A 25,274-nucleotide genomic window follows, 5' to 3' on the forward strand; every position below is an offset into this window, starting at 1 on the left:
GAGCTAGCCTCATAAAATGAGTTAGGGAGGATTCCCTCTTTTCTACTGATTGAAATAGTTTCAGGAGGAATGGTACCAGCTCCTCTTTGTACCTCTGGTAGAATTTGGCTCTGATTCCTTCTGGTCCTGGACTTTTTTTTGGTTGGTAGGCTATTATTTATTGCCTCAATTTCAGAACCTGATATTGATCTATTCAGAGATTCAGCTTCTTCCTGGTTTAGTCTTGGGAGGGTTTATGTGCCCAGGAATTTATACATTTCTTCTAGATTTTCTAGTTTATTTGTGTAGAGGTGTTTATAGTATTCTCTGATGGTAGTTTGTATTTCTGTGGGATCGGTGGTGATATCCCCTTTATCATTTTTTATTGCATCTATTTGATTCTTCTCTCTTTTCTTCTTTGTTAGTCTTGCTAGTGGTCTATCAATTTTGTTGATCCTTTCAAAAAACCAGCTCCTGGATTCATTGATTTTTTGAAGGGTTTTTGTATCTCTATCTCCTTCAATTCTGCTCCGATCTTAGTTATTTCTTACCTTCTGCTAGCTTTTGAATTTGTTTGCTTTCGCTTCTCTAGTTCTTTTAATTGTGATGTAGGGGTGTCGATTTTAGATCTTCCTTGCTTTCTCTTGAAGGCATTTAGTGCTATAAATTTCCCTGTACACACTGCTTTAAATGTGTCCCAGAGATTCTGGTACATTGCGTCTTGGTTCTCATTGGTTTCAAAGAACATCTTTATTTGTGCCTTCATTTTGTTATTTACCCAGTAGTCATTCAGGAGCAGGTTTTTCAGTTTCCATGTAGTTGTGTGGTTTTGAGTGAGTTTCATAATCCTGAGTTCTAATTTGATTGCACTGTGTCTAAGAGACAGTTTGCTGTGATTTCTGTTCTTTTACATTTGCGGAGGAGTGTTTTACTACCAATTATGTGGCCAATTTTAGAATAAGTGCAATGTGGTGCTGAGAAGAATGCATATTGTCTTGATTTGTGGTGAAGAGTTCTGTAGATGTCTATGAGGTCCGCTTGGTGCAGAGCTGAGTTCAAGTCCTGGATATCCTTGATAACCTTCTGTCTCGTTGATCTGTCTAATATTGACAGTGGGGTGTTAAAATCTCCCATTATTATTGTGTGGGAGTCTAAGTCTCTTCGTAGGTCTCTAAGGACTTGCTTTATGGATCTGGGTGCTCCTGTATTGGGTGCATATATATTTAGAATAGTTAGGTCTTCTTGGTGAATTGATCCCTTTACCACTATGTAGTGGCCCTCTTTATCTCTTTTGATCTTTGTTGGTTTAAAGTCTGGTTTATCAGAGACTAGGATGGCAAGTCCTGCTTTTTTTTTTGCTTTCCATTTGCTTGGTAGATCTTCCTCCATCCTTTTATTTTGAGCCTATGTGCATCTTTGCAAATGAGATGGGTCTCCTCAATACAGCACACTGATGGTTCTCAACTGTTTATCAAATTTGCCTTTCTCTGTCTTTTAATTGGGGCATTTAGCCCATTTACATTTGAGGTTAATATTGTTATGTTTGAATTTGATCCTGTCATTATGATGTTAGCTGGTTATTTTGCTCGTTAATTGATGCAGTTTTTTCATAGAGTCACTGGTCTTTACCATTTGGCATGTTTTTGCAGTGGCTGGTACTGGTTGGTCCTTTCCATGTTTAGTGCTTCCTTCAGGAGCTTTTGTAAGGCGAGCCTGGTGGTGACAAAATCTCTCAGCATTTGCTTGTCTGTAAAGGATTTTATTTCTCCTTCACTTATGAAGCTTAGTTTGGCTGGATAGGAGATTCCGGGTTGAAAATTCTTTTCTTTCATAATGTTGAATATTGGCCCCCACTCCCTTCTGGCTTGTAGGGTTTCTGCAGAGAGATCGGCTGTTAGTCTGACAGGCTTCCTTTTGTAGGTAACCCAACCTCTCTTTCTGGCTGCCCTTAACATTGTTTCCTCCATTTCAACCTTGGTGAATCTGACAATTATGTGTCTTGGGGTTGCTCTTCTTGGAGTATCTTTGTGGTGTTCTCTGTATTTCCTGAATTTGAATGTTGGGCTGCCTTGCTAGATTGGGGAAGTTCTCCTCGATAGTATCCTGAAGAGTGTTTTCTAACTTGGATCCATTCTCCCCCTCACTTTCAGGAACACCAGTCAAACGTATATTTGGTCTTTTCACATAGTCCCATATTTCTTGGAGGCTTTGTTCATTTCTTTTCACTCTTTTTTCTGTATTCTTCTCACTTTATTTCATTAATTTGATCTTCAATCACTGATATCCTTTCTTCCACTTGATCGAATCGGCTATTGAAGCTTGTGCATGAGTCTCGAAGTTCTTGTGCTGTGGGTTTCAGCTTCATCAGGTCATTTGAGGTCTTCTCTACACTGGTTATTCTAGTTAGCCATTCATCTAACCTTTTTTTTTTCCACAGTTTTTAGCCTCTTTGCGATGGGTTAGAAGATGCTCCTTTAGCTCAGAGAAGTTTGTTATTACCAACCTTCTGAAGCCTACTTCTGTCAACTTGTCAAACTCATTCTCCGTCTAGTTTTGTTCCCTTGCTGGCAAGGAGCTGCGATCCTTTGGAGGAGAAGAGGTGCTTGTTTTTTGGAATTTTCAGCTTTTCTGCTCTGGTTTCTCTCCCCATCTTTGTGGTTTTATCTACCTTTGGTCTTTGATGTTGGTGACCTATAGATGGGGATTTGGTGTGGATGTCCTTTTTGTTGATGTTGATGCTATTGCTTTCTCTTTGTTAGTTTTCCTTCCCACAGTCAGACCCCTCAGCTGCAGGTTTGTTGGAGTTTGCTGGAGGTCCACTCCAGAATCTGTTTGCCTGGGTATCACCAGCAAAGGCTGCAGAATAGCAAATATTGCTGCCTGATCCTTCCTCTGGAAGCTTCGTCCCAGAGGGGCACCCACGTGTTTGAGGTATCTCTCAGCCCCTGATGGGGAGGTGTTTCCCAGTCCAGCTACATGGGGGTCAGGGACCTGCTTGGGGAGGCAGTCTGTCTGTTCTTGGAGCTCGAATGCCATGCTGAGAGAACCATTGCTCTCTTTAGAGCCATCAGACAGGGACGTTTAAGTCTGCAAAAGCTGTCTGCTGCGTTTTTTTCTGCCATGCCCTGCCTCCAGAGGTGGAATCTATAGAGGCAGTAGGCCCTGCTGAGCAGCGATGAGCTCTGCCCAACTTGTGCTTCCGGGCCTCTTTGCTTACACTGTGAGCTACTCAAGCCTCAGCAATGTTGGATGCCTCTCCCTGCATCAAGCTGCAGCGTCGCAGGTCGATCTTAGACTGTTGCGCTAGCAGTGAGCAAGGCTCCGTTGGCATGGAACCCACTGAGCCAGGCACGGGAGGGTATTACCTGGTCTGCCAGTTGCTAAGACTGTGGGAAAAGTGCAGTATTTGGTCAGGAGTGTACCGTTTCTCCAGTTACAGTCTGTCATGGCTTCCCTTGGCTGGGAAAGGTAAATCCCCTGACCCCTTGTGCTTCCTGGGTGAGGTGACGCCCCACCTTGCTTCAGCTCACCTTCCATGGGCTGCACCCACTGTCCAACCAGTCCCAGTGAGATGAACCAGGTACCTCAGTTGGAAATGCAGAAATCACCCATCTTCTACATCGATCTTGCTGGGAGCTGCAGACCAGAGCTGTTCCTATTTGGCTATCTTGGAAGCAACCTCAGGTATTTCTTTATTAGCAGTGTGAGAACAGACTAATACAGATTACTAAATCCAGAATCCAGAGAACACAAGATTATAAGTTCCTTGCGCTTGAGCATGTTCAGTGAGAGCGCTGCAGGGAGAAGGATGATGCATTCTGAGAGCCAACAGGGCTGGACTGGAAACTGGAGGAAGAGAAAGAGCTAAGGAAGGAGAGGAGCAAATTGGGGGTTGACATGGCTGCACATGGCATACCATCCTGGGTCCAGTCTAACTCCCAGTGGTCCTTACACAGATGGAACCCTTGTCTAATGCCATTTGGAAGACCCTACTACTAGTTTCATTATGGGACCAGGGTTGGAGAGGCTCAGAATTCATGGGCAGCAGGCCTCCACCATTTTCAGATTTAATCTGAATATATTGTCCTGTTGTGCCAGAGTGACTGTTTCTTCCTCTCTGTCCTCATTAAGCCCCTACAGATAAGGCTTGGAAGGATTTGGGAATTAAGGCTTCAGGGGTGATCATGTTGGGGAACTGGATGCTCTACTAGCATCAGTGCTGCTTTTCCTAAATGCACAGAGATGACCCTCCTGCCTACACCTCTCATCTGGATCTGTTGACTCAGGTAACAGGTACAATTGCAGTGCTTACACTAGCTGGGAGGGCAGCTGAGAAGCCTTCTCCAAGACCAAGCAAAATGGAGCTCCAGAAGGGACTCAGGTAGCAGCCACTTCACCCCTGCTTCCCTCACTGTCTCCAAGTGCACCACGTTCAAGATGCCCTTGAACTTCACCAGACCTGGAAACAAGAATCCCAATATAGAAAGGTAGTTTTTGAATCCAGGTCTGTTGTTCCAAAGCATATCTGTCAAATAATAAAAAAGACTATTTAAGCTAACTCAGACATTTTAATTAAGGCATTGCATGTTCCCTGGGCTGTAGGGAGGAGTTACATGACTAGAAATCATATGGAAACAGTGGACTGCATAACATCTGTGAGTCCCTCGTCACTTCCTCTCTTGCTGAAGACTAGACACTGTCCTATAGAGACACAGGAGGATGAATGTCCATTCTTCTGACTGGCCATGCCCTGGATCAGAACAAAAGCTGAGGCACAATAACAGTAAAACCAGAGGGCCGGGCGCGATGGCTCATGCCTGTAATCCCAGCACTGTGGGAGGCCGAGGCAGACGGATCATGAGGTCAGGAGATACAGACCATCCTGGCTAACATGGTGAAACCCCGTCTCTACTAAAAATACAAAAAAGAAAAAAGAAAAAAGAAAAAAAATTAGCCAGGCATGGTGGCGGGCGCCTGTAGTCCCAGCTACTCTCTGAGGCAGAAGAATGGCATGAACCCGGGAGGCGGAGCTTACAGTGAGCTGAGATCTGGCCACTGCACTCCAGCCTGGGCGACAGAGTGAGACTCCATCTCAAAAAAAAAGAGTAAAACCAGAAAAGATATTTGGAGGGATGGGAGAAGATTCTGATATGATATTTTAAATATCTCCCAAGTAGCAAAGCTACAGGGCTTCTGCCTCCTTTCAAGGCAACTGAAAGTAGTCTTGATAGAGAGGTGGACTATTTATTTTGTAAATTTAAATGGAAAACTAATCAGAAAAGTTAGAGTGGCTGGCAAGAGACATACCCAAATTCTTTGAGTTCCTTTATCTCCATCCTGGTCTGTGATTTTTAAATAAAGAGATGAAGGAAGAATGAAAATAAGCATGTTAGCAGATGTAACTCCTGTAAAATAAGACAAAAGAGAAAGTTTAGCATTGCTATTGTGAAAATTTCCCTGCAAACAGCTACTGTAGAATGACAAGCACAAAGTCATGAAGCCATACCTACGACTCCAAAAATATCCTTCATGGAGGGTATGAAGATCACCAACAAGTTGATAACAACCAAGAGTATGCAGGTAACCACGGTATGACGACATAAATTAAACTTTGTTTTCTTAGCCAGTTCAAATAAAGATGAACGAACCTGCAAGAAAAGAAAACAAAGATTCTGTAAGTGCCTACAGCATGCCAACATTGACATTTCTCTGCAGAGTAACTGATTTATTGGTGCACAGGAATTCATGAAATGTTTTGTAATGCCTAGTGAATTTATAGATAGCTTAACAGTTTTGGAAGTACGGGGGCTTGACTTAAGAGGGAAAGTATTTTTATTTATGAGTAGTAGAGTTTTCTTGTTGGGGGGTGTAATTTCTGTCTTTGGTTTATCTAAGACTTGAATGTTCATTTCTGTTCTTTTTATATTCTCTCTTCATGTCTACTGAGATTTGAACATTCTATTGTCATTTCTTTGGAAAGAACAGGGTCAGATTAATTAGAATGGAGATTCACTGCATCAGAGGCTCCCTGACGCACTGAATGCCACTTGCTTTTCAAAGAGCCTGAACCGAGTCTTGGGATCTTTCCCAGATGCAGATTCAATAACCCAGGAAAGTTACCTGGGGCAGGCTTTCTCTGCAACGGGCTCCTGCAGGCAGAAGGAAAGCCGAGACCTCAGCTTTTCTCATATTGCACAGAGGCCCTTACTCACCGTGAAAAATAACACCGGCACTGTGAGGATCACAGCAACAATGACAGCCAGCCGCACTGTCAGGATGAGAATGTCATCTTTACTCTGATATTTGTGAAGGAGGTCGGACTGCACGTTGTCTAAAATGAGGGAAAAGCAAGAGGGTTTTAAAAGGAGACAAAGTATATAGCTGAATGACAGTTTTTCTGAAAAACAAAGAATCTGTAAACTAAAGGGCAAGAAAAGCAATGTTTCGAAATGTCTATTAAAACAATCAGGTTGGAAAGAAAAATCTCTATGTAAGACATGCTCCACTGTGCATACGCGACTTAGCAAAGAAATTTAAAGTAATCACTGGAAGAAGCTACATGGAGTGGGAATGCTTAATTTAGACTAAATTAAACCTAGGAGTACACTGGGCTCGAGAATGAAACATACAGTTGAAACGCGAAGCTGCTCTTAATCTAGACTTTCCCTCCACTCTTCAAACCACACCAAACTGCCACAGGCTTGCTCAGGGAGGGGGTGGGGTGGGGAGAGCTACAAGCCACCTTGGAGCTTGTTTCAAACTCTTCTCTTGTTAAGTCAACTTCAAGTGGCCAAGCAGCAGAGACACTAGTTGAAATTTCACCATCAGGAAATAATTCCACTCTTTCATGTATGTTGTTCTTGTAAAAAAAAAAAAATTAGTTTATGTACTACTTTGTGTGTGTGTGTGTGTGTGTGTGTGTGTGTGTGTGTGTGTGTGTGTGTGTGTTGAGACAGGGTTTTGCTCTATCACCCAGGCTGGAATATGGTTGCCATAGTGCCATTTTGGCTCACTGCAACCTCTGCTTCATGGGCACAAGCAATCCTCCTGCCTCAGCCTCCTGAGTAGCTGGGACTACAGGCATGTGCCACCATGCTTGGCTAATTTTTGTATTTTTTTTTTTTTTGTAGAGATGGGGGTCTCATTATGTTGCCCAGGCTGGTCTCGAACTCCTGGGCTCAAGCTATCCACCTACCTTGGCCTCCCAAAATGCTGGGATCACAGGTGCAAGCCACCGTACCTGGCCTTATGTACTACTTTGAACTTTTTCTCAATCCAGAACTTCAGAAAGTGTTATTTCAAAGACTAACAAAGCTAGAATGGCAGTCACATAGAGTATGGAACTGCTCACTCTTTTGACAAGAGGTAATTTCCCCTCCTGTCTCCTGCAAGGGCCTCTCACTGCACCAGTCTCAAGGTCCTCAGCATGGAATTCAAATGCTAATCTGTACCATAGAGCTTAGCTTGGTCTCAGTTTCCAAAAAAGAACCATAAGTTATAATACCAATCTCACTAGTTCTAATTTCCTTAATTCAAAATAACTAACCACTTAAAAAATAGCTAATCCTTTTTCTTTAATCCAAGAGTAATAAAAGTGTTTGGTGTTCTATTCTATGTGAAAAATAATGCATCTACAAAGAAAAATTATAGCTTCAACAAGACAACAGTGAGACTTCAACTAACATTAAGTTCTCCGCCTCTCTCTCCCTGTACAACTCTGTATGCACCTTAGCAACACCATTTTTATGTAAAAATTAAATGTGGTATTTATGAATTCATTAGACAATGCCATTCTCTATTGCTAGTGAAAACAATAATAATATCTGTATAATCAGAGTAGCCTTTTTCTCCAGGCTGAATTAATACTTTTTAAATGTGTTTAATTTTGAGACATTTGTGTTTATGAAAAAAAGTCCCAAAGAATTATTATTTAGTAGAGAAGATTGTGAAATACATACATATATATATATATACACACACATATATATACACATATATATAGACACACATATATATACACATATATATATTTAAATTAGGTCCCCAATTATAAAGATAATGAAAGATATTAAATCAAGCTTCAGGATAATTTGAATAGGAGAGGATGAAGAAGCAGTAAACGCCGGTAAACTGTTCATTCAGGGTCAGTAAAAGTTACATATGAAAACTTGTTCCCTTTTTCAGATTTCATTTTTTAAAATTTTCTATCATTCCTTTGGATCTTTGCAAGGCTTCGACTTCCAGTGAACAATTAGAAGTTTCATTTTTAATTAACTCAGAGTGTCATGAGTGTAGCACTCTGCTCTTTCTCACTTTCAGCATCTGTCTCTGTCTCTCCATTCTATTAATGGAATCTGACCCAATTTGCGGTGTCAATTAGGAAAGCCTTCTCTGATGTAGTTTTAAACCTTCCTCAGTAAAGGTAGCATGCTTCTAAAATGCAATTTCTATTAAGGACACTGTTAGGAGAAAAAAATTATAAATATTGTTTGAGTAATTATTTTATTCGGCAGTCTGCATGAACATGAAAAGATCACCATTGCTTTAAGTCGAAGAAAAAACTAGAAAAACCAATGGATAGCTTTGTTGCTTTCTTTGCCTTTCATGTTAAAAGTTATTTCAACACTAATTTTTACTAATTTGTTTACAAATATTTATATTTATGTACCAGTAGAAATTACTTACCATAGAATGTCAAGTAGCCAAAAATGGCAGTCAAGAAGTACATAACAAACATGGCGAAAAAGGAGATGTTTGAAACCATCTGCATTTTTTTCTGTGATCGGCTAAAAACAAATAAATGTTAAAAATTAAAAATCATATGACTGAATTTAAGCACCAGTGTTAACATTGAAGAATACTAATTTAACTTTGCTTCTGTCAGGTTAGGGAAGATCTGAACAGCTGAAATTACCCCTGGCAGTTATGCCAGTTGAAAATAACCTCTCTTATACTGAATTGGTATTGAGGGTGAGATCTGTGGAACTACACTCCCGTTAGCGTTCTTCCCCATTCTTTTAAAAGAATATCGAGTTCTCATCGGAAGGGCAGACAGCATTTTTTTAATATTTGTGCTTGATATTATCTCCACACTAGCTGGGCAAAGGAAAAAAGGCAGAAAAAAATCAATGCTGTTCTCCTAGCTCCAGAGATTAGTGGCAGAGCTGGAACTTGACCTCAGGTGTTCTGTCTCTAAAGCTGCTGTTTCAGGTTCTGATTTTCCCATTGGGTGGCCTCAGGGATGCACCTGGAAGTCTGTAGGTCTCCAGCGCAGCAAGTGCCCAAGAGATCACAGCTGGAATGATGAAGGGCTCCATCTCTCAGGTCAAGTTCACTCTGGGGTTGGGATGACCCTCTAAGTTTCTTTAACTGCCCAAACAATTAATCTGCAACACTTGTATTCAATAAATAACAGACCACAGATAGTCATAACATTTGGTTATGTCAAGGAATCTAGGATGCCATAGAAGTATGGAAAACAAGAAAAACGGAGAAGTAGGCCCCGCGCGGTGGCTCACGCCTATAATCCCAGCACTTTGGGAGGCTGAGGCAGGCAGATCACCTGAGCTCAGGAGTTCAAGACCAGCCTGGGCAACATGGTGAAACTCTGTGTCTACAGAAAATACAAAAGTTAGCTGGGCATGGGGCATGTGCCTGTAGTTCCAGCTACCTGAGAGGCTGAGGTGGGAGGATTGCTTGACCCTGGGAAGTTGAGACTGCAGTGAGCTGAGATCACACCATAGCACTACAGCCTGGGTGACAGAGGGAGACTCTGTCTCAAAAAAAAAAAAATAAATAAAGAAAAATTGAGAAGTATACGCTTGAGAAAATTAAAAACTAAAACTAAAAGCTGAACTATTAAAAGACGCCAAAGATATATGAGTGGATTCAATGCTAAATGACATCAACTTTGTTTCAAACTGGAAATAAATACTGATATTGTCGATCTTTTCTAAGTTTTTAAGATACGCTATTGTGACTATTTTTGTTTATGTTTGATAACCATAGGCTAAAAAGAGACATGAAGAAGTTTATAAGCAGGCCTTAATTTTCTCAAAACCAGCAATCAAAAATAAATCAATAAATCCATAGAATTTTCTTAATAGTTAAAAATGAACAGCAATATTCTCTTTTCCTAGTTTGTGGTCTTAATATTGATTTCTTATTGTCTGATTTACTAGCCTTTTCACCCAAACCCACAGGCAAATCAGAGACGATGTATTTAGCAGTTTACAGATAAATCTGAAGATTATCACCCACTTGCAAAATACGCATACGTAATGGAAAGCAACACAAATACTTAAACTTTCCTCGGTGATACAATATTTGAAAAACCAAATTAATGAAAAAGCCCACATGGTTGGCTACTTTTTATGTTTATGGCCCCCCAAAATACTGCAAGTTTCTGATTTTTCTTGCTTTCTTGTTTCTTAAAATACAATGCTTGTTTAAGAATGGCACAATGTGAGTAAATGTTGAAGCTGGGTGATGAATCCGCTGACGTTCATTAGACAAGTCCGTTTATTTTAATTGCATACTTGCCTATTAATGAGGGGATGTAAAACGATTAAGATAAAAAATTAAACAAATTTCTTACTCTTTAAGCTCACTGTAAATTGGCAGGACTGACGGGTGGCAAACAAATGCAAATGCAATGGTGGGTAAAGCATACACGGTCTATTTGAGAGAAAAGAATAGACATTAGGAAAAACACTTTTACCATAAAAAGGACATAGCTCCAGTATTTCTGAGCTGTCTTTTTATCTGACAGCTCTTCAGAATCCCTGGATTATTCGGTTATTAGGGAGGTTTTGATCTCTAAAGTAGAAGCAGCTTTTCTAAGACAGCTTGTCTAGCTCGAGCCATTAGCCACTTGTCACAGAGGGACTTCGGATTTGGCTCACCTATGGTGTATTTTATATACTCCAGGTATACAACACCCCCTGTTTATACAGCATGAGCCAGTTACATGGCACTCTTCCTAGGATAGCTCGCTGGGTCCCCACAGCAATCCCAAGCAGTAGGCAGACTGTGGCTGTTCTCCTGGCTCCCTCCAACAGGTCAGGCGACTGGCCCAGCACTCCCACCTCTAGTTTACTGCTCTTCGCTCTACATCAGGTGCATGGAATCGGACTTAAAAGATACCCTCTGAAAAGAAAATCTGTTCCATATTGCACTACTTTGGCTATATCCTTACAATCAGAGAGAAGGAGAAAGATCGCGATCTATTTAGTTTTCTTAGATAAGGCTCTTTGAAACTCTCACACTCAATCTAACTTCCTATGCAAAAAGAAGTGAAAACTAACCTATCTTATGCCCTAACTCTGCTGATGCACTATGCCAGGCACATTCTAACAAAACCTTGTAAGATACAGAATAGAATACTTATTTTTACTCAAGGGGTTGGGTGACTTGCCTGAGGATTCAAATCCAAGCCTGACTGACTCCATAATCCTCTGTTTCCCATTGTATCAACAATATTTTAATAGTATGAGAGTTTTTTAAGTGCCAGTTTGTGGTGGCATCTATATTTCAACTGTGCAACCTGAGGAAGTCTGCAGTATTCCTTTCTGTCATCGCCAGAAGAAGGGAGCTAAGGATGTTGTTAGTCTGTTTTTGAAGTATCACCTAGCACTCTACACAGAAAAAGCTGAGACAATTATCCAGAATGGGATTTTCACAGAGAATGCTTAATGGTAAGAGAGAGTGTAAAATATAATATTTGTATATTTCTCAAGGATCTCTACATAGATGTGTAATCTGGAAGCAATGGTATCATGTGTTCTTTTGAGAACTAATACATTCAAACCAGTGCAATTACAAGCATGAGAAATAGAATGTCCTTAATAAAAATGCTTGTTTCATCTGCAAAGGATCAGGAAACTTACCTTTGAATTGAAGGTAACATATTTTGGCGTACACGTGTCAGCATTTGTTGAATTAGCACTTATTGTTGAATTTAGCTCTGGAACAATGCAGGGAATTTGAAATTTCTTGTAAATAACCTGGTATTAAGAAGTATAGTAGAAGCAATATGGACTTTAGTAAAGCCAATGAATAATTATTACATGCCATTGTACTATCACAAAACCAAACCAACCATTGCAATCAGCACTTACCACAATTAGGAAAAAAACCATACAGCTCAAGGAAAATCCACTAGTATAGCCAAGATACCCTTTAAAAAAAAGTAAAAAATAAATTATTTCATTTTTTTCCATTTTTAAAAATTTTGGAGCTACCCATCATAAACTGTTATTATTTCAAAATTCATCACCTCACTTATTTCAGTGCATTATTTGAAGCATATTTTAGAGATCCAATAATAAACATACATGCCCAAGTGAATACAAGATTTATTATTTGACAGTGCTACTTTATTTGGCAAAAAAATGGGGCTCTGAATAGAAACATTATATTACGTGTTTTGATTCCAACTCTCCCTGGCACACTAGAGAACACAGATTCCCAGAATCCAGCAGAAAAGAGCCTTCCAATTTTTGCTGTAAGTCTGTGTTGGTGGACCCTGATGGAGTCCTATGGGCAAACCCATTTACTCCTTGATCCCCTCAATAGCTCTTTATTATGCACTTATTGTGTGCATACTGAATGTCAGTTATAATACTTTTCTCCCCAGATGACAGAGAGTAGATGAAGCGAATTTCTAGTGGTAAATTGAGTATCTGGGGCTCTTTAGTAGCTCCCCTTAGAATGCCTGGGAGATCTCCAATTGCTACCATGACCTCCAGAAAGGTAGAGTTAAGTAGCCTCTCGGGACTGCATTATTTTCAACCCAGGGGAAGAGCTTTTCTCTACTTAACTGAAAAGAGCTACCTCTATAGGTACAGAAAACACAGAGGCAGAAACCAGAAAATTAAGTAGTTAAAAAAATCTATTTATAAACCTCACAGAACAACTACAGAGCTGTTTTGTTTTGTATCCAAAACAAAACAAAAAACTAAGGCTCATAATTATTGTTTGGAGAGCTTTTATCCAAACTTCTGTTTGAATTAGCCCAGAATTAAAGTAAATACATTTTATAGGTTTTTGACTAGATGGCAGTCTGGTCACATTATTCAATGTATGAAATTCCCTTAACATCAGGCATCCTTGTCTCCAAATACAAGCATAAAAACAAGTAGTAGATCAAAGCCAAATGGATATGACTTGGAGATTATCCGCCATTTCTGACTTTTGATTTCTCTCTCCCACTTCGAAGAGAAATAATTGAGGCTGGTCAGACTCTCTAAATTTATAATACTTGTGGGTATAAATCTAGGCAGCTTTCTGTCTCCATATTAGATTTGAAAATGTATTTATCTAAATAATGAGGGTATTTAAGACTTCGTATGAAGAGAATTGCATTTTCTGGACTTTTCTTAGAGTAGCATATAAGTTGTACTACTGAAAATAGCCCTGTCTGTCCTGGCCCCAGGACCTCCCTTCTCCCCTCCACAGCTCAGTAGAGGGATTGTTTAGGAGGTCACATACTGACTGTTATTTTTATCCCATATTAAAGTTGGGACCGATTAATACTTGCAATTTATCATGTACTTAATCTTTGAGTGCATGCAGAGGGGAAGCAGAGGGCAACACTGTCCATTTTTATTCAGTTTCTGATTCACTTGGGCACTGCAGAATATGATAAAAGCAAAATCTGTCCTTACCTAAGTTCTTCAAGAGACACAGAGGGAGAATTATGCCAAAGGTAACTATCACCACCAGAACGCGGCCATCCACGTACCAGGCTCTGAAAGGCATTTAAGTGATTAGGTTATATTTTTTTAGAAAGTGACTTTTTTCCCCTCCAATGTAAAATTTCATGATATCATGATATATATTTTTATTAATTTTTACTATATGCATTAATTTTTAAAATCATTATTCAGGTCTTATCCAAACACTTTAACCCAGCCCCTACTTATATACTACAGCTTCACTCCCCTGTAATGGAAGAGGGAATATTGGTTTTTTTTTTTCCCATTGGCTAAATGTGGCATTCTTTTGAATTATTTACATGGTTTCAAAGCTGAATGCACACATTTCATTCTGTCAGATTACAACTTGTCCTATCAATTATTTAAAGAGAAAGCTCCTTTTTGTTTTGCTGGGCTAGTATCAGTGAGAAACAAGTCACTACAGGTAGACATTTCTCTCTCCCTGATCCCTTGGATTTGACCTTGAATCCTGAGAACACTAGAGACTCTGGCTTCTACGATTCTCCCTTGAAAGAAAACAGAGAAACTAAGACTGACAAGAACTGTTAAACAAGAGGGAGTCAAAACACAATTGTGCCAAATGTAGCTGCAACATTTTCCAGGGTTATCTACATCTTTAATGAGGTTGGCTCATGTAAATTTCGCCCCCAAAATGCTATGTCCCTTCTTTAAGTAAGAGGCTAGGGTCTTAATTTTTGTTGCACGTTCCACTTTTGTGTTAAAAATACTGCATATCTGTTCTATTTCACAGAAACTAGATATAGATTTCAGGCTCTGGGGAAAATGCAGTATCTACCGCTCATAGCATGACAGACAAATCTACTTTTCAAATGTGCATATGCAAATGGCTCTCCTGCTTTTTTCCTTTATATAGCCCCAAAGAAATTTATTGTTGAAACAACAAACAAACAAAACGCAGCCTAGGAAAAACTTTCTGCAATATTCACAAGCAAGAATTTTGATTGGCCCATATTTAAATTAAAAACATTTTAGTTATATCATAAAAAAATGGTCTATAACTTACGAAAATGTCTCTTCCTTTCCCATTAGAAACTTTATGGCAGAGGGTAGTTCATTTTTTACGATGAAGAGGTAGCTCAGCATTGCTGAAGGAAAATGAGAACATTTTTAGAAAGAAGATACGAAGGCTTATGTTGCAAGCTACATAAAAAGTTATCAGCCCGTTCTTAGACCAACTGTCAGTAAGACACAAAGGCAACTTCAGCTACTCTAGCAGGATTTGTGGCTTTAAATAAGTGACTGCTGTCTCTGCTTTACTTTCCCTGTGCCATTTTAGCAATGAGGATGATAACTGCTTGAATTATGTTAAAATTCATGTGGCCGCTCATCCACCAGAATTAGTTTCAAGTTATGTAAAGAAAAGCATGTTCTTTTTACCTCCAGTGTTCTGTAGAGAGGTGGCTCCAAAGATTACGAACTTCCCTGTGGTGCCAAAGACTTGTTCCCCCAGCTTTTCATACACCATGCAGCCTATTTAAAAATCAAATTTGAGAACACAAGAAATGACAGGGTTCAGAAAGTTAAAATAGTCAAGATTTTGTCATTCTATTGACTGTTCCCCAAGTTACTATGTGCCTTTCTCAAACTCACACAAATAGTCATTTTGGCCTTCAGGGGTTAAGGTATCCTCATTACAAAACAAATTCTTAACATTTTAAAATGTGAGATGCAACCATCATTTCTCCTTTTTCAAGTTGGCTACCAGAGCATTACAATTAACCTATTAGGTCATAAGGCTTATTTTTAACTACCTCTATCTTACAAAGGGGAAATTCCTTCTGTGATCTTTTTCTTCAGGTCTGGTGTACACCATTAAAATACATATTTGATTTAAAAAGATCCTAATAGTTGAAACAAAAAGATTCCTTTTGAATTAATGACCTGAACTGATTAGGCAAACAAGGAATTATCTTAATAACATCCCATCAATGCCTCCACGTTCTAAATGTAATAACAAGCTTAGAAACATTTTAATAGCCACGACATACAAAACCTAATTATTCATAAAATGTAGTTCAAATACATGCAACTCACAAAAGAGAGCAGAAGACTAATCTGTCAAAAGCATAATTTGTCTGTAGCAAAATTTGAAAGTGTTCGACTAGCTCATCTCAATAAATACTGAAACTCTAAAGCATTCACTTTTTAAAAAGTGTTTATATTTCTTTATAACTGTTCAGTTCATGTTTTCAAAAGGTTCACGGAGAGCAATATGGGACAGGCTATAATTAAACCTTTGTTTAATCTCTCATAAGACTGGTGTTTAAACTAGACAATGGTTAGCTCCTCAATTTATTATAAAATGTTCCAGTTAAATGGAGTCATGTATATACAATAATAGTTGACCAATGTGGTTTTAGTTAATGTAAAAGTCAAAGAATTACAAACATAATCCAGTGTCCCAGAAATAGAAAATAAACACTTCAGGTATTACACTGCCCAGAGTACTTGAAGTCTCTTCATAGCTTGCTCACTCCCACATTGCCTCAGGAGTAACACTTTCTCCTTGGAATATGCACAAGAGAATGACAGGTCTGTTTACTTTTAAAACCTTGGAAGTTATAATATAAAAACATGGGATCTTTGTTCTGGATTTATAAAGACCTAAGGAAAAACAAGCTTTTAAAATGAAGTCATTTTAAACCAGAAAAACAGGTATAATTGAGGGTTCACTTTAAGTGACAACATTATTTTCTCATTGTCCATGACAATTTAATTTATATTTTGCTGCAACTGTTTCTCTAGATAAATACTACTATAGGTCTTCCAATCACTCTAGGTCAAAATAGTCTTTCTTTTTAATAATCAAATTGCTGTACAGAGAGAACATCATTGTTCCACAATGCTACCATAAAAATAATTCACCCTGGTTTTAACAAAATCAAACACGTCCTCAGCTTACCTGTTTCTTTTGAACAGATCAATAGGAGGTTTATTGAATATATAGACAGCAATGTCACTGAAGTCAAAAGTACCCTAAAGCAAAGAAAATAAATCTTATTGTAATATCTAGAAAAGAATATATTCTGGCATTACAGTTTAGAAGGGCAAAGGTTTATTTGTATGGTTAACACTATTTGTTAATAGTATCCAAATTTTGGAACCTATTAGTCATCCCTGCTTTAAAATCCTCAACAAAAATGTCCTACCAAATAAAGAAGTGCTCATTAGAATCTGAGTAACAGTTCAAATCCTTTATGTAATTCGAAGCCCAAATAGCTCTCTGGGAGCATTTCGGTTGAGATGACTTTAAAACAACATTATGAAAGAAGGCTTTTGTAGTCTATGTTGCACTCTCTGTTACATCCGGGTGAGAAAGTGTGAGAATGGGGTGGGAGGGGCGGAGGGAAAGGCTGGCAGTGACCTTAGGAGAATGACCACCTGACTTTGGGCAACTTGCTTAACATTCCCATCTCTGGATTCCTTGCCCATAATATAAAGATACAAGCCAAATGATGTCTAGGGTTCTTTTCATCTATTACTTCATGGCTATTTTAAAATCTATATATTGGGCTACTAATGTAATTCACTTTTTTTGCACCTGGTTCCTCTTAGATGAATAAGCACCACTTGGTAACCAGTGGGAAAATTTGACAATCAAGTATAATGAAAAGACTTTTTTGAATGATGAACTCATGTTTTTGTTTTAGTACATCTGGGTCATTATCACACCCTTCTCAAGAAAAAGTGCAGTTAAAATGATGTGGGAGATTATATAGATGATTTCTGAAACATTTGGTTAAAACAGACATGATAATTGAAAATAAAGCCTATTTATTAAAAAAGAAGAAAAAAAATCCAGTCCCCAGATGAAACCGCTCACTTCCTGATGTGGGAAAATATATCCCTAGAACAATACATAACTGCAATTGACTCTATGTTTGAGTCATGAAAGGCAATTATTTTTCCACCAAGTGCTGTTGAGAGGCACTTGGCACATCATGCCGTTCGCTCTGCGTGGGCTGCTTCCTCCTGGCCCTTCCCCCTCCCAGCACACCTGTTGAAGGCTGCTCTAGGCCCCAGCTCAGATGCCAACTCCTCAGTTGCCTTCCCTGGCCCCAGGCAGAATGACTGCTCCTCAGCTGTCTATGATCCTACAGTGTTTTGTTTCTCCTGCATACGGGGCAACCATGAGGAGATAAACCAGGAGTACAGAATGGTCAACAGCAGAACAGATGAACTGCCAGAAACTGGCCAGCAAACAAAAGAGGGGCAGAGCTCAGCAGAGGCAAAACAAACACTAGGAGAAAGAACAGACCTAACACTTTGGGTAGAGGCCCAACTGATCTGCCAATAAACAGGAATTTAGGTTAAGATATGATTGGTAAGGAAGTACATTCAGATCTATACTTATTTCCCTAAAATCCTTGAGTGAGGAGGCTGATTGATATGGTTTGGCTGTGTCCCCACCGAAATCTCACCTTGAATTGTAACTCCCATAATTTCCACGTGTTTTGGGAGGGACCCGGTGGGAGATAATTGAATCATGGGGGCAGTTCTCTCATACTGTTCTTGTGGTAGTGAATAAGTCTCATAAGATCTGATGGTTTTTTTATAAGGGGAAACCCCTTTCACTTGTCTCTCAATTCTCTCTTGTCTGCGGGCAAGTAAAATGTGTTGTTCGCCTTCCGCCATAATTGTGAGGCCTCCCCAGCCACGTGGAACTGTGAGTCTGTTAAACCTCTTTTTCTTTATAAATTACCCAGTCTCAGGAATGTCTTTATCAGGAGCATGAAAATGGACTAATACACTGATTAAGAGGGTAGGTCTCTTATCTCTTCAGGTTGAGGGATGTGAGAAACGGACAGCAAGCATTTATTAGCCAACCCAGTAGTTCTGAGATACGTAATGGAACAGGATTTGATATGCTCTGCCACAGAATAAGATATGGGACCTAATTGTGGCATGATTTTTTTTCCCGTCAAGTAAGATAAGCAATATTTATGTCAAAGAAGCAAGCTTTCGGTTTCTTGCAGAGTTCACTTGTTTTGAGGGACACAATGCTAAGTAGCCACTTCTACACGAACATGTGACAGGCCCTAGAGGATTTCCGTGTGGCACAGAAGAGCACAGGCTTCCTAGTGGAGTAAAATGAGTGACATCTTAGGATGAGCCAGATGCTATTCTGGAATGACTATGTGCCCTGTTGGGTCTACTCTGCTAGGACCAAAGGGATTTTCCCATGGGCCCAAGGCTAATGTATAAAGAGTATGACCTTGTAGGAACTATCTATGTGCCTAGCAGGAGGGGATAATTATGAATATCTACACAATTATTTACAAAAGGCCCTAACCCTGGAGAACTTGGTATTTATTAGCAAAAGAAACATTCTAAGGAAACATTTGCTGTGTTCCCTCAGTCAGTAGCCTCTGCAACCACGCGGTTCTTGCACATGGTTGTGTCTTAACACAATCTATGTGTTGAATCTCTTTGCAGATGATGCTCAGTGGCATCTGGCCCTTTGAGCATCATAAACTGCTATCCCCCCTTTTCAAGCCGGAGAAAAGTGTTGATTAGGGAAGATTTTAGTAGTGTTCACTTATCTTCTTCCCCCCACTTAAACACAACAGAATGAGGTGCTCCCACAGTGGTGAAAACAACCCCCTCCCATGTTTAAGAGACGTAACATTGCACCCCAGAGTACTTAGAGTCTGATAGTTTTTGCCTTTAACTGTCTGATCTGCAAAGGATCTCTTCTTAGTCCTTTCCCAAATGTAGATCTTCTCTTCCAAGACTGAAAATTAATATAAAGCAAAACCCCCTTTTCTATCAGATCACTAAGAGGCAAACTGTAAAAGTAAAATTCTAAGAATACTTTAGCCTATACAAGAATCTGGCATTAATAGGATTAAAATTTAGAAAAGTATACCTCCTTGTTCAGATTCTTAGAAAGAAGGAATATGTTGTCTAATTGACTCTAATAGAACCTAGAAAGGGTTAGAAAAATCAAATCATAAATGTCTTGAGACACAGAAACCATGACATCTAAGAGAAAGAAGAAAGAGGAATAACTGGAGAGAAGGTGTTGACTTGTTTGAACACTTCTATTTAGAGCATGATTATGCCCCTAATTGTCCGGGTAGATATTTGTACATATAATTATGGTTTCCTGGAAGAGAAACACATGCTGGGATTCCTGTGTTAACACAGAGGAACACAAGTGATTCCTTTTTAAAATTTCATCTGGATATAATTTAAGCTTCAACATTGTTAACCACTGACCACAAGTATTAATATGGCTGGGACAAAAACTGGTTGCTAAAAAAGGCGTACTTACATGGGGACTACAGATCAGCAATTGATAATAGGGCTGCCAAGGTGTTGATATTTCAGACTTATGTTCATCTTTGAGGAGAAGATCTAGAGCATGTAATTGTACATGGGTCATGGGGAAGGGGTGGCAAGAGAGTTAGAATTGCGAATAATGTGGTCAGGAGCCTTCAAGAGTCTTTGAGTCAGCAACATTATGAAAGATGTGGTTCAGGACATTCTAGTAAATTTTGGAGTCTCCTGAGAAGAAACTTAGAATTCTAGACTCCTGAAGCAGGGAGAGACTTTCAGAGAGAACCTAGTCCAGCACAGCATGTTTACCCAGGACAGGAAACCTCTATGCTCCATGCCAACACACAGGCATCCAGGTCTGCAAAGTGTCTTTTAAAAGGGGACATATTATGCAACCCATTCTGTTTCTGAAAAGTTCTGTGCTTGGAACTGAGGCTCAGCTGAAATCACTGTCGCTACTTCTATCCTTGGGTCCTCATTTTACCTTCTGGACCTATTTGTATCTACTTGAAATCTAACACCTCTCCTACCTAACAGTCCTGAGGGTGCTCATTTTAAGATTGTGCTCTTTAACTCAAACATCTTTAATTCTTTGAACTGTTCATCTTGTGATGAAGTGTTTGGGCTGTTTACATCTCAGTCATGGTCCAGTTCCTCAACCATCCTTTTTAAAGGCTGTGTGCTGAGATGAACACAATGCTATAACATCAGATTTGGTCCAAACAGCGCAAAGCATGATAGGATTTTTAATTTCTCTGAGTCAGACATCTTTCTTCTTTCAAGGTAATCTATTTTGGAATTCATTTTTACGGCAACCACACACTTTTCATTCTTTTTGAGCTTCTGGTGTGAATGCTACTAGGCTGTCTTCCTGATTCTATCTTGTGTACTTTTTTTGTCTGTTTCTGAAGCTAAGTGCCAGTCCTATATTTATTTACATTACATTTTATCTTTCAAGTCTCATGATCTCTTCTTAAATTGTTGATCCTTTTTACTTATATATCAACCACTGCATCTAACTTCATATCTTAAGTGTACCTTCATCCAAGTCACTGGCATCAACCTTGAATAGAACAAGACCATCTGGAAATGGCCCATTGTCCAGCCAACTGCTTGAAGCCTGGAAGTCGACCTTATCTCTCACCCATTCCCTCATCCTTTATATCTAGTTCATTGGCAAGTGCCCTATCATTTCTATCTCCAAAATTTATCCCAAATCCATAGGCATTTTGTTCCCATCTCCACTCTAGTGTGAGCCATCGTCCTTAATTTCTGGATAACTGTGATCATCTTGTCTCCTCACATCCGTCTTCCACCCAGCAGCCAGAGTAATCTTTTTATTTTATTGCTTTATTATGTGTCTCCATCACTAGACTGTAAGACAGACAACGACAGTTTAATTCAACTATTTACCTATTTACCTTCAACATCAAACACACACATAACAGAGTCTTCGCTGAGAATCAGTGAATTTAGAAACATTAGAACCTCATTGGCAAGTTATGTGAGACTATGCCAAATATCTTAACTAAAATCAAGACTCCCTCTATGAAGATAGTCCCATGATCTACTTAGCTCACTGTATCTCAAAAGATGATATTAGTTTAGTGACTATTTAGAAAAACTTTGTTGGTTTCTACAGAGTAATCTTTTCTGCAGTCATTGCACATAAACAAGCTGTTTAATAATTTTCTCTACACTATTCCTTGGCATCTACTTTTTGCCATTTTTGAAAGTTGGGATTAAATTAGCCTATTTCTAATCCTCTGGGGATACTCTTGCTTTCCATGATTTTTAAACAGATTCCTGAGAGTATCTTAGACAAAGTGGCATGAGCAAAAAAAGAAAAAATGAAAAAGATTTGTCACAGTGGTCCTAGATATATTTACTCTTTTTGCTGCAAGAAAATTTTGACTCATCTTTTAAACAACGAACATCTAAACATCGATTTGAAAAACGTTATTTGTCAATGTTTTGAATCATATTAACAGAATTGTAATTATTTGGTCTTCCATAATTTACCCAAAGATTATATGAATAATGTTATTATTTTCATATTTAAAAGTACCATATGCTAATAAAGTGGAAAGCTGTGACAACAAATAAAACCAAAACATTTAATGTGATTGAAATGTTCTATACCATGATTGTGGTGGTGATTTCACAACTGTATTTGGGTAAATTTAACAAACCTCACCCTTTAAATTGGAGAATTTTATTGTATATAAAGTATACCCCAAAACAAACAAACAAAAAAACAACCAACAAACAAAAACCAACCTCAGGACACTTTAAGGGAGATAAGACTATATTTTAAAAGCCTAGCTACACAGCAACAAATCATATGACATCCTCCCAACACAGCATCAGAACCTTTGGTAGGGGTGGAGGTAAAGCAGCCGTCACTGCATCAGATCCAGAAATAGCTCAGATGGGGGTGTTTGGGGCTGCCTTGCAGCTGAGTGCTTTCAACTTCTCCAGGACCCATTCCTCCCAAAAAAAGAGAGAACCGTTGCCAGCCCTCCCTAGCATGACTCTCCCTTGCAAAGTTGAAAGCAGCTATTCTCAAACTTTAACGTGTGTGCAAATTAGGATCTTGTTAAAATGGATGGGTCGGGACCTGAGATTCAGCATTTCTAACAAGTTGCCAGATGCTGCTGCTGCTACTGGTCCACTGACCTCCCTGGAAGCAGCAAAACTGAAAGCCCTAAGCTCTGGCCTTGTGGTGTATACATTCCAGTTCTTTCTGTTTCTCACCACACTGTGCTGTGCATCACCCGCCACACTGTCTGTGGTGAGGTGCTGTGCCAACACTGCAGCTCAGTTACCTGTAAACACAGACCCCACGGCTACCCAAGTAAGGTGACAGTGACGAAAAGCACTTACAACTGAATCATTCTCATTGCTGTGGGATGCTGACTAGCTTCCAGTGTGAAAAGTAAGATCTCATCTGCTTCCTTTGGTTGACTTCCTCAAGCATTACTTTTTTTTTTCTTGAGACAGAGTCTTGCTCTGTCACCCAGGCTGGAGTGCAGTGGCACAATCTTGGCTCACTGCAACCTCTGCCTCCCAGGTTCAAGTGATTCTCCTGCCTCTCCTGAGTAGCTGGGATTACAGGTGCATGCCACCACACCCAGCTAATTTTTGTATTTTTTAGTAGAGACGGGTTTCACCATATTGGCCAGGCTGATCTCAAACTCCTGACCTCAGGTGATCTGCCCACCTCAAGCATTATTTACTTCAGCAGGACATATATTTAAATTCTATTTTCAACCTCCCCTCCCCCATGTTTCACTCCTTCCAAAAGGGATCTGAGGCTTACTAAACTATGTAATTCTTCCTCTTCTAGATCCAGTTAGAAGTATAAAACTTTTACTATCCTCAATTAAACAAGCAGGCTAGTACATATAAAAACTCCTTGAGCTGGGGTAAAAGTGGTCTTTATTACTAGTCCTCCTTTGATCTATCACTGTCTCCTAATAACCCACAGCCCTCACTCCAAAACTTACAGACATACTGCTTGTTGAGGCAGAGTATTTACAAGAAAAATTTAAAATCCAGGACAAGGAACTTAGACAAACCATAGGAAATGCATCGGTTCTGGGCTAGCCTATCTTTCTCCACTCCTTTCTGCTATTGCTGGCCTCTCCCTCACCCTCTTCTACCTCTTACTTCTAGTCTACCTTTCTCAAGGGTCTCAACCCTCCTGCATCTTCACCTTGCACTTTCCCATTCATCTTTCATCTCCACCAACTCTCCCTGCTTCTCCATCCCCACCCCCAATTATTCTAGGGGAAATACCTGTATAAAGATTTGAAAACATTGTTGAAGAGACTAGAACACTAGCTGAAAATGATGGAGGGGCTGGACTGTGGGGAGGACCCAACTGAGAATGCAGACCAAGAACTTAGTGTCGCCGTGTCTGTGTGGTTGGAAAGCACAGCTTCAGGGGTTTTCCAGGCAAGTGTGACAGCCAGCCAGTGGAAACAGGAAGTAGGGCATGAGTAGAAGGTTTAAGTGAGGGACCAGAGGCTCTCAGTGAGGCTCGAGGACAGGAATAGTGGTTTCTGGCCTAGGGAAGCAATGCCAATGGAAGACTTAAGTGGTGAGGAAAGAGACACAGAAGAAGAATCCTGGCCAGGCGCGGTGGCTCACACCTGTAATCCCAGCACTTTGGGAGGCAGAGGTGGGCAGATTGCCTGAGCTCAGGAGTTCGCGACCAGCCTGGATAACATGGTGAAACCCCGTATCTACGTTATCTACTAAAATACAAAAAATGACCTGGGCATAGCGGCGTATGCCTGTGGTCCCAGCTACTCGGGAGGCTGAGGCAGGAGAATTGCTTGAACCCGGGAGGCGGAGGTTGCAGTGAGCTGAGATCATGTCACTGCACTGCAGCCTGGGTGACAGAGTGAGATGCCGTTTCAAAAAAAAAAAATCCTTTGTTTAATGAGAGCTCAGATGGAAAGAGGCAGGCCCAAAAGCAAAGAGACAGGGACAAGGTGTTCTGAGTCCCTAAATTCATATGAAAATGTTAAATATTTTGAAAAATTCAAAATGATCTTTTATATGAAAATGGGTTTTGTCAAGCTCTTTAATTTACCTTAAGGGATTCAATATAATTAATAAAACACTTTACTGATCATTAATAGTACCAAATGTTGGGGTATTCATTATATATCAGGCCCTTTCTAAGCACTTTTTAAAATACTTCACTTATGAGTAGTACTATTACTATCCTTATTTTACAGATAAGGTAAATAAGGTAACAAGGAGGTTAAGTATTTTGTCTAAGGTCACACAGCTAGTGTCAGAGCACTCAAACCCTGGTAGTATGACTCCAAAGTCCCTACCCATCACGTTGCATTGTCTATCAAAGTCAAACATCCAGAGTGGAATAACACTGTAAAAAATAAGACCAAACAAAAATCTTAGAATGAAATACATTGAAATGTTAATGGAGCTTGTCTAAGGTGAGCCTGAACACTCCGAACAGAGAGACTTTGCGTGTTTTCTTTATACTTTATTTCATTTATTTTATGCATTTTCAAAATGGTTTAATGGTTATCTTAGTTTTACAATAAAAATATAAAGAACTTTTCAAGTGACAGTATTATTATTTTAACCCCTTTTTAGGGGAGAGTTGCATTTGTTTAAGTCTTAAGCTCATTAATAGAATCCCTGTTTGATTAAGGAGCTCACAAAATACTTACAGAAAGGAGTAGAAACATAATTATTCAGTCCTAAAGTGGACTTCTTAGTCACTAAATTCTG

At 39.5% G+C, this 25,274-nt stretch overlaps 1 protein-coding gene across 52 annotated transcripts in view, besides 4 other annotated features; it reads right to left on the bottom strand.

Annotated features, from left to right (window-relative positions):
- Nucleotides 1–25,274, bottom strand: part of SLC38A1 (solute carrier family 38 member 1) — an 85,981-nt gene that overhangs the window by 9,371 nt on the left and 51,336 nt on the right. For 16 of the 52 annotated variants that reach the window (NM_001077484.2, XM_047429588.1, XM_047429598.1 and 13 more), the window contains 11 exons: nucleotides 16,621–16,694; nucleotides 15,096–15,188; nucleotides 14,722–14,803; nucleotides 13,647–13,729; nucleotides 12,099–12,157; nucleotides 11,868–11,984; nucleotides 10,577–10,656; nucleotides 8,665–8,765; nucleotides 6,192–6,310; nucleotides 5,486–5,627; nucleotides 5,287–5,384 (listed from right to left, as the gene is read on the bottom strand). In NM_001077484.2, the coding sequence (NP_001070952.1) occupies nucleotides 5,287–5,384; nucleotides 5,486–5,627; nucleotides 6,192–6,310; nucleotides 8,665–8,765; nucleotides 10,577–10,656; nucleotides 11,868–11,984; nucleotides 12,099–12,157; nucleotides 13,647–13,729; nucleotides 14,722–14,803; nucleotides 15,096–15,188; nucleotides 16,621–16,694 (1,048 nt within the window). Of the gene's footprint in view, nucleotides 1–574; nucleotides 4,505–5,286; nucleotides 5,385–5,485; nucleotides 5,628–6,191; nucleotides 6,311–8,664; nucleotides 8,766–10,576; nucleotides 10,657–11,867; nucleotides 11,985–12,098; nucleotides 12,158–13,646; nucleotides 13,730–14,721; nucleotides 14,804–15,095; nucleotides 15,189–16,620; nucleotides 16,695–25,274 lie in introns of those variants that run through there. The other 36 variants (XM_011538784.3, XM_047429578.1, XM_047429586.1 and 33 more) reach the window with 4 other exon arrangements.
- Nucleotides 15,481–15,570: an enhancer, noted in NCBI's record as "active region_6238". NCBI's record gives its function as "activates an Ori minimal core promoter by ATAC-STARR-seq in GM12878 lymphoblastoid cells {active_cell/tissue: GM12878}" and the evidence as "EXISTENCE:reporter gene assay evidence [ECO:0000049][PMID:35858748]".
- Nucleotides 22,957–23,016: an enhancer, noted in NCBI's record as "active region_6239". NCBI's record gives its function as "activates an Ori minimal core promoter by ATAC-STARR-seq in GM12878 lymphoblastoid cells {active_cell/tissue: GM12878}" and the evidence as "EXISTENCE:reporter gene assay evidence [ECO:0000049][PMID:35858748]".
- Nucleotides 23,578–23,907: an enhancer, noted in NCBI's record as "active region_6240". NCBI's record gives its function as "activates an Ori minimal core promoter by ATAC-STARR-seq in GM12878 lymphoblastoid cells {active_cell/tissue: GM12878}" and the evidence as "EXISTENCE:reporter gene assay evidence [ECO:0000049][PMID:35858748]".
- Nucleotides 24,078–24,137: an enhancer, noted in NCBI's record as "active region_6241". NCBI's record gives its function as "activates an Ori minimal core promoter by ATAC-STARR-seq in GM12878 lymphoblastoid cells {active_cell/tissue: GM12878}" and the evidence as "EXISTENCE:reporter gene assay evidence [ECO:0000049][PMID:35858748]".

This window comes from Homo sapiens, chromosome 12, assembly GCF_000001405.40.
Source record: "Homo sapiens chromosome 12, GRCh38.p14 Primary Assembly".
NCBI lineage: Eukaryota > Metazoa > Chordata > Mammalia > Primates > Hominidae > Homo > Homo sapiens.